This window comes from Homo sapiens, chromosome 8, assembly GCF_000001405.40.
Source record: "Homo sapiens chromosome 8, GRCh38.p14 Primary Assembly".
NCBI classification, from domain to species: domain Eukaryota; kingdom Metazoa; phylum Chordata; class Mammalia; order Primates; family Hominidae; genus Homo; species Homo sapiens.
In genome coordinates this window covers 139,456,434-139,466,085 of record NC_000008.11, presented here as the reverse complement: position 1 = coordinate 139,466,085, position 9,652 = coordinate 139,456,434, and the positions used below count along the sequence as shown (strand labels likewise).

Sequence of the window (9,652 nt, the reverse complement as noted above, 5' to 3'; positions counted from 1 at the left end):
GCCCATCATGTACAATTGCACAGTATTGGTGCATGTAGTCAACTATCCTGAGAGTTTGGGAAGAAGGAGTGAGATTGTTTACATGGACACAATTGTAATCATATTGAAATTTGATGTTAGATCCCTGACCTTAAAAGGTCCACCTGCTAGTCAGTCATACTTCTCAGCAACCCTTCCTCCTCTCCTTTCTTCTTGACACAGCATAAGCTCCATATGCTCTGTTCTTTTCTAGGACTAAGCATTTTAGCTTTCTGTTTCTTCAACTCCTGCACACTCAGGACTTTAGTGTCTCAGTGTTTACTCCAAGCAGCTTATCAAGAAATGGTTTCTTTCTGAACAAATATCCTTTATTTTGGGGTGCCTGCTCTTATCTTAAAATATGCTCACATATGTACACACACACACACACACACACCCCCCTCAATCTGGCTAAGTCTCTTCTTCACAGATGCTTGTAATCAAGTTGGGGAGGGAGCTATGTGTGGATAGAGGTGGGACAGGAATATCCACTAACATTATAGAAGCTTGTTTCTCACTGATGGGAGGGGAGACTCAGAAAACCAGAAGAGATAAAGCCTGTGATGGTGGCACGTGCAGAATTGTGGTCAAAGTTTTGGGCAAAGGGTCAAGAGAGACAATCACTCAAGTTTGAGATTGGTTCTAAATAAATGGAAACACATCAGAACAGAATAATCTTTCTGAACACAATGCCTTTGGTTGGGGGCTGACTCTGTAGCTATGCCATTTATTTGAAAATGTTTAATTCTAGTGTAGGAGTAGAAGGAATTAAAAGAAAATATGGAATAACATGCAGGTTCTTACGTACATTCTGAGAAAGTTCATATGCTTCCAGCCCACAGATTAAAACATTTATCTATGAGGGTGATTGTGGTCAAGATGGAGAGAAGCGAAGTGCCAAATTTGGGGATTAATTTTGAAAATAGAGCTGGCAAGATGTGCTGACAGATTGTGCATGGGGCATGAAGGGTGGCACGAAGGTTTGGCTGAAGCAGATTGATGGTGCCAATGGCTGAGTTGGTAAACCTTTGCAGAGGACAGGCAAGGGATGAAAGGATAAAGAGCTGTACTTTGGACCTGTGAAGTTATTTTGACTACCAGACATCTAAATAGATGTTAAGTAGATGACAGCATAGAGAAACTGGAGCTCGTAAGTTAGCGATGCATATAGTTATATAAATGGAAGTTGATAGCAGGGCAATGTTATATAAAGCCAAAGCACTGGCTAATATCATATAGCAAGTGTACAGATAGAGAAGAAGTCTCTGACATGAGCTTGGGGCACCAGCACTTAAATGAGAAAGAGGAATAAGCAACCAGAAGGGCAGGAGGAAGTACCAAGAGAGTATGGTATCCTAGAAGCAACACGTAGAAAAGAAATTCAAAAAGTATGAAACGGCCAGCCATGGTGGCTCATGCCTGTAATCCCAGCACTTTGGGAGGCTGAGGCAGGAGGATTGCTTGAGCCCAGGAGCTCGAGACCATCCTGGGCAAAAAAGTGAGAGCCAGTCTCTCCAAAAAAAAAATCAACAAAATTAGTTGGGTGTGGTGGTGTGGATTCACAGTCCCAGCTACACAGGAGGCTAAGGTGGGAGAATCGCTTGAGCCCAGGAGGTTGAGCCTACAGTGAACTGTGTTTGTGTCACTGGACTCCAGCCTGGGTGATAGAGCAACACTCTGTTAAAAAAAAAAAAAAAGAAAAGAAAAGAAAAAAAGAAAAAGAAAGAAAGTTTTTTTAAAAGAAGGATGAAATGTTAATATTCCTCTATGTCAATACTGATGAGAAATTGAGTGTGACTACTGAAAGTTGACCCCTCATTTTTGCACGGTGGAGGACAGGTTTCATTGAGGTATTGAGGGCAAGAATCTGATGGAGTTAGTTGAGACGGAATTAAAGTTGAGGAAATGCAGATGGGTATAATAGAAAATAAGTTGAATTTTACTGTAAAGAAGACACAGATATTAAGGGCAGAGAGTCTGCATCTCTTCAATGCATGCTAGACATATTAATGTTTTCCAACTAAGAATCCATCCTTTCATTCTGAAATAATACTTTATTATTTTAATTTTAATTTACTACTGAATTTTATTTGCCTGTAATACGGATTTTACAGCAATATTTCAGAGTGAGACTTGAACAATTTCTTTATTATATCTTCATCAGGATTTGGACACAAGATTACATACTGGGTTTGTAAAACTGAGAGCATTTCTATGTTCTAGCATAGTTTACAAAGAATAAGGATTTTTAAAACTTCGCTTATAAATGGTCTTGGCTGAGCACTTTTTCAGAAGCAATTATGTAACTACTTTCATTCCAGTTTGTTTCTGGTTACTGTCTTATTCAGGTTATCTGTGTTTTCTAGTATTACTTTAGTAATTTGTTATTATACAAATATTTAAATTCAGATTTTCTAATTAAGATGTTTTTATATTTTTAATTTCCTTGAAGTCTATCATTATAGTTTTAAGATACTAATTTGGATATTTGTGTTTTCATCTCTCCACTTTTTTCTCTGTAACCTGGAGTGGTTTTGCAAATCTGTTATCCATATTATTTATTTGACTCTATCCATTTTTACATTCACTTTTAAAATATTTGTTTTAGATTCTAGTATGATTTTTTAATATGCATGTTCTGTTTTTTTGACTTTATCTCATTCATTTTTTCCCCCATCTTGCCTAGCTGACTCAAGTCGTATTCTCCTTATGGTTTTCTTTTTTTTTTTTTTTTTTTTTTTTTTTTTTTTTTTTTTTTTTTGAGGCGGAGTTTCGCTCTGTCGCCCAGGCTGGAGTGCAGTGGCGTGATCTCGACTCACTGCAAGCTCCGCCTCCCGGGTTTACGCCATTCTCCTGCCTCAGCCTCCCGTGTAGCTGGGACTACAGGCGCGCGCCACCATGCCCGGCTAATTTTTGTATTTTTAGTAGAGACGGGGTTTCACCGTGTTAGCCAGGATGGTCTCGATCTCCTGACCTCGTGATCCGCCCGCCTCGGCCTCCCAAAGTGCTGGGATTACAGGCGTGAGCCACCGCGCCCGGCCATGGTTTTCTTGTAGGGGCAACCCACCCCTACATCTGGTGCCCAACGTGGAGGCTTTTCTCTAGGGTGAAGGTACGCTCGAGCGTGGTCATTGAGGACAAGTCGACAAGAGATCCCGAGGACGTCTACAGTCAGCCTTACGGTAAGCTTGTGCGCTCGGAAGAAGCTAGGGTGATAATGGGGCAAACTAAAAGTAAAATTAAAAGTAAATATGCCTCTTATCTCAGCTTTATTAAAATTCTTTTAAAAAGAGGGGGAGTTAAAGTATCTACAAAAAATCTAATCAAGCTATTTCAAATAATAGAACAATTTTGCCCATGGTTTCCAGAACAAGGAACTTTAGATCTAAAAGATTGGAAAAGAATTGGTAAGGAACTAAAACAAGCAGGTAGGAAGGGTAATATCATTCCACTTACAGTATGGAATGATTGGGCCATTATTAAAGCAGCTTTAGAACCATTTCAAACAGAAGAAGATAGCATTTCAGTTTCTGATGCCCCTGGAAGCTGTTTAATAGATTGTAATGAAAACACAAGGAAAAAATCCCAGAAAGAAACGGAAGGTTTACATTGCGAATATGTAGCAGAGCCGGTAATGGCTCAGTCAACGCAAAATGTTGACTATAATCAATTACAGGAGGTGATATATCCTGAAACGTTAAAATTAGAAGGAAAAGGTCCCGAATTAATGGGGCCATCAGAGTCTAAACCACGAGGCACAAGTCCTCTTCCAGCAGGTCAGGTGCCCGTAACATTACAACCTCAAAAGCAGGTTAAAGAAAATAAGACCCAACCACCAGTAGCCTATCAATACTGGCCGCCGGCTGAACTTCACTATCGGCCACCCCCAGAAAGTCAGTATGGATATCCAGGAATGCCCCCAGCACCACAGGGCAGGGCGCCATACCCTCAGCCGCCCACTAGGAGACTTAATCCTACGGCACCACCTAGTAGACAGGGTAGTGAATTACATGAAATTATTGATAAATCAAGAAAGGAAGGAGATACTGAGGCATGGCAATTCCCAGTAACGTTAGAACCGATGCCACCTGGAGAAGGAGCCCAAGAGGGAGAGCCTCTCACAGTTGAGGCCAGATACAAGTCTTTTTCGATAAAAATGCTAAAAGATATGAAAGAGGGAGTAAAACAGTATGGACCCAACTCCCCTTATATGAGGACATTATTAGATTCCATTGCTCATGGACATAGACTCATTCCTTACAATTGGGAGATTCTGGAAAAATCGTCTCTCTCACCCTCTCAATTTTTACAATTTAAGACTTGGTGGATTGATGGGGTACAAGAACAGGTCCTGTGAAAATTGTAGATTGCTTACTTGCATTGATTCAACTTTTAATTGGCAACACCGTATTCTGCTGGTGAGAGCAAGAGAGGGCGTGTGGATCCCTGTGTCCATGGACCGACCGTGGGAGGCCTCGCCATCCGTCCATATTTTGACTGAAGTATTAAAAGGTGTTTTAAATAGATCCAAAAGATTCATTTTTACTTTAATTGCAGTGATTATGGGATTAATTGCAGTCACAGCTACGGCTGCTGTAGCAGGAGTTGCATTGCACTCTTCTGTTCAGTCAGTAAACTTTGTTAATGATTGGCAAAAAAATTCTACAAGATTGTGGAATTCACAATCTAGTATTGATCAAAAATTGGCAAATCAAATTAATGATCTTAGACAAACTGTCATTTGGATGGGAGACAGGCTCATGAGCTTAGAACATCGTTTCCAGTTACAGTGTGACTGGAATACATCAGATTTTTGTATTACACCCCAAATTTATAATGAGTCTGAGCATCACTGGGACATGGTTAGACGCCATCTACAGGGAAGAGAAGATAATCTCACTTTAGACATTTCCAAATTAAAAGAACAAATTTTCGAAGCATCAAAAGCCCATTTAAATTTGGTGCCAGGAACTGAGGCAATTGCAGGAGTTGCTGATGGCCTCGCAAATCTTAACCCTGTCACTTGGGTTAAGACCATTGGAAGTACTACGATTATAAATCTCATATTAATCCTTGTGTGCCTGTTTTGTCTGTTGTTAGTCTGCAGGTGTACCCAACAGCTCCGAAGAGACAGCGACCATCGAGAACGGGCCATGATGACGATGGCGGTTTTGTTGAAAAGAAAAGGGGGAAATGTGGGGAAAAGCAAGAGAGATCAGATTGTTACTGTGTCTGTGTAGAAAGAAGTAGACATAGGCGACTCCATTTTGTTATGTACTAAGAAAAATTCTTCTGCCTTGAGATTCTGTTAATCTATAACCTTACCCCCAACCCCATGCTCTCTGAAACATGTGCTGTGTCAACTCAGAGTTAAATGGATTAAGGGCGGTGCAAGATGTGCTTTGTTAAACAGATGCTTGAAGGCAGCATGCTCCTTAAGAGTCATCACCACTCCCTAATCTCAAGTACCCAGGGACACAAAAACTGCGGAAGGCCGCAGGGACCTCTGCCTAGGAAAGCCAGGTATTGTCCAAGGTTTCTCCCCATGTGATAGTCTGAAATATGGCCTCGTGGGAAGGGAAAGACCTGACCGTCCCCCAGCCTGACACCTGTAAAGGGTCTGTGCTGAGGAGGATTAGTAAAAGAGGAAGGAATGCCTCTTGCAGTTGAGACAAGAGGAAGGCATCTGTCTCCTGCCTGTCCCTGGGCAATGGAATGTCTCGGTATAAAACCCGATTGTATGCTCCATCTACTGAGATAGGGAAAAACTGCCTTAGGGCTGGAGGTGGGACCTGCGGGCAGCAATACTGCTTTGTAAAGCATTGAGATGTTTATGTGTATGCATATCTAAAAGCACAGCACTTAATCCTTTATATTGTCTATGATGCAAAGACCTTTGTTCACGTGTTTGTCTGCTGACCCTCTCCCCACAATTGTCTTGTGACCCTGACACATCCGCCTCTTCGAGAAACACCCACAGATGATCAATAAATACTAAGGGAACTCAGAGGCTGGCGGGATCCTCCATATGCTGAACGCTGGTTCCCCGGTTCCCCTTATTTCTTTCTCTATACTTTGTCTCTGTGTCTTTTTCTTTTCCAAATCTCTCGTCCCACCTTACGAGAAACACCCACAGGTGTGTAGGGGCAACCCACCCCTACATTTCTGGTCTTCTTGGCAGTGGGATATAACTCCTTGCACCTTCTGACAATTTGAAATAGTATCATAGGATTTTTTGATGGATCCTGCAATAGATTATCTTCACTGATGTACTCTGTGGATGAACTTGACCTTTTCAGCTCATGTCATACTTCATAGGACCAATGTATTTATCTATTTTTGTCCATATTCAGTATGGAATGAGGTTGACACTTTTTCAGATTACAGTTTTGCCAATAGAGAGAGTGTTTACACAGTGCCTCTTTCGGCGCACTGAAGTGATGGTCAGAGACGTCTCAGATCTGCAGCTGAGAAGATTCTTTCTCCAAGAAGCATTAGAGTTATCTCTTTCTTGAAGCAGGCTTTCCAGGCACTGTTCTGAGAAGATTCTTTCTCCAAGAAGCATTAGAGTGATCTCTTTCTCGAAGCAGGCTTTCCAGGCACTGTTCAGGGTATTTACTGCCTCTTTTTGATTCTTTATTTCCCTTGGCCAGCATCCTAAGTCTCCATGTGATATGGTTTGGCTGTGAGCCCATCCAAATCTTATCTTGAATTATAGCTTTCATAATCCCCATGTCTCATAGGAGGCACTCAGTGGGAGGTAATTGAACCATGGGGGCAGGTTTTTCCCTTGCTGTTCTCGTGATAGTGAATAAGTCTCATGAAATCCAATGGTTTTATAAAAGGGGAGTTCCCCTGCATAAGCTCTCTTGCCTGCAGCCATGTAAGACATGCCTTTGCTCCTCCTTTGCCTTCCACCATGATTGTGAGGCCTCCCCTGCCATGTGGAACTGTGAATCCATTAAATCTCTTTTTCTTTATAAATTACCCAGTCTTAGGCATGTCTTTATTAGGCGCGTGAGAACAGACTGATACACTGTCCTTGAGTGAGCTACGTCTTCCTGTTTGTAGCCACCCTAATTACCCCTAACTCCCATTGAACCCAGCATCATCTAGCAGCACGATCTTGAAAATGCAAAGTTTCAGCTGCTTGCCTAGACGCACTTACCGTTGATTTTGACCAACCCATTACACTAGAAACTGATCCTGCATGAGCTGTGTCCCCATCAACTTCCTGGATAAAAGAATTTCTATTTCAGTAAAGCTGACTGTATTATAAAAAGCAAATTAAATCCATGTTTAATGATAGTATCCTGATGTAGAAATCCACCACATTGATTATATCCCTGGCAGGGATGCGTTAGATGCGCTAGTGCCTGCTACTCTATCACAGAGTCTTGAATTGTGGTTTTTATAGCTAGTGCTTCAAAAGTCACATAAATAGTACCAATTCATATTCTACCTTCTACAGGAAGCCTCCTGAGATTATTTTGGTTTCCCATTCCTTGTACCCCCAAATATCTACAATTTTATCCCTTTAAAGATGATATAAATTGGAGATATTAACTTTTGTTTAGCATTCTATGGTTTACAGAGAAGATATTTGCATACATTATTTTGTTACCTTATTACTTAGGCATTATTTACTTCTGTGAAGTAAAGAGTATAAATTTTCCATATTTTGCATTTGAAGAAATTAATGATGAAGAAATTGTCCAAGTTTACACAGTTAATGGCTAAGGGGCTGGAAGAAAATAACTTTTTAAAATGTTGTTTCATTAGCATTTTTGTTTTGTAAATGAGGACATTGAGACTTACAGAATAAGTTATTCAAATAAACACAGATAATTAGTGCAAGAGCCTGCGTTTGAATCTTAGACTGTGTGAGTCTAAAACCTACGCTTTTTCCTTTATATTACCAATAACTAGATCACATTTAAACAGTGTCATCTTGTGTTTCCCTCAGGAGTTTAAATCTCTTCTCTCAAGAAAAAAAATCATAAGAATACAAAATGTAGATATCATGATTATCATCATCATCTCCCTTCAAGGCTTAACTTAAACATTCCCCACTCTATGGATTTTGTGCTATTCTTTCAGTCAAAGTTAAAACATTTTCTCCTATGTCTCCATGGCACATAGCATATAAAGAGCTTCATTGATCCAGGTCAGAGTTTTGTGTGATTGTTTGTGTATGTGTCTCCTCCTGTAGACTTCTAGAGATCAGGTTCTGTGAATCTTGCCTTAATACAATACACCGAACATCTTAAGCGCTCACTAAATGTATATTGAAGGGATTTTTGTTTGTAACTTGAAGGAAGGACTTGCACACTCATTCGGTGTCTTATACTCTAGACTTAACATTTTGATTGACACTATTATATCACAAATTGGATTTCTGATGGCCAATAAAATTTTACATATATAAGAATATTTTAATTTTTTCTACTTAGGTCATCATTAACAATTAAGGATTTGGTTAAGTTGCTACAAAAAAAAAAGACTCAAAAATTGGCCGAATAAATATATTCCATAATTTGGCATCAGAATGTCTCAGACTATTTTTCTTTGGTTTAATCTTAAAATAGCCTCTTTGTTTGACACAGGCTATTAACCTCAGTGACTAAAGAATTCATCCTGTTCCACAGCTATAATATTTTTATATACAATCTATGAATTGTTGAAAAATCGATCCCTGTCTTCTGAGACTGGGACTACCATGGAACGAATATTTCTTTCTTGTAAAGTATGAAGCCCTCTGCTGAGTTTTCAAGACTCTTCCTCACCTAAGCTCGTTATGCTGCTCCAAGAAAATCCCCTGCTTATTTTTCCATATATGACTGGTAATTTTTTTAACTCTGTGCTAGGTTATGTGCCTCTTGTATATTCCTACCACACCCAGGGAAAATCTTGACCAAAGCTCTTAACACACACAGGTATACTTATCAACTGACATGGTTTTTAAAAAATTCCCTTTGCTTAATACAGTGCACGATAAATAATAGATTAATATCTATTTGTTCAGTTAATAAATGCATGGGTGGATGACTGTGTGGTGGCTTGAAAAATGCCCTCCCCACCAAGATGTCCATGTTCTAATCTCCAAAACATGAATGTTACGTTACAGGGCAAAGGGTATTTTGCAGTTGTGATTAAGTTAAGGTGCTTGAGATGGGGAAATTATCCTGGATCATGTGGGTAGTCCTAAGGAGACCCAGGTCCTCAGGAGAGGGAGGTAAGAGTAGCAGTAGATGTGATGATGGAAGCAAGAGGTTGTAGTGATGGGGAAAGGAGTCATCCTCCTCTTTGATCCCAGGAATGAGGGTGACCAACAGAAACTGAAGAAGGCAAGAAGACGGATTCTCCCCTCAGTGGCTACAGAAGTAACCAGCCTCGCTGACACCTCAGTTTTGAGCCTGTAAGACTCATTTCAGATTTCTGACTTCCAGAACTGTAAGGGAATACGTCTGCGTTACTTTAAGCCACTACGTTTATGGTAATTTTTTAACAGCAGTAATAGGAAGTGAATACAGGCTGGATGAACGCATGAATGAATGGACCTATGCTAATCAGTCATCCTGTGTATTCCCTGAACCGCTCGTGTCCCCATGCTGTTTGCTCCTTCTCTAGAGGT

The 9,652-nt window shown here is 40.3% G+C and overlaps 1 annotated feature.

Annotated features, from left to right (window-relative positions):
- Positions 6,181-6,715: an enhancer, noted in NCBI's record as "H3K27ac hESC enhancer chr8:140471614-140472148 (GRCh37/hg19 assembly coordinates)". NCBI's record gives its function as "activates a minimal SCP1, AML or CMV promoter by ChIP-STARR-seq in naive H9 embryonic stem cells {active_cell/tissue: H9 hESC(naive)}" and the evidence as "EXISTENCE:reporter gene assay evidence [ECO:0000049][PMID:30033119]".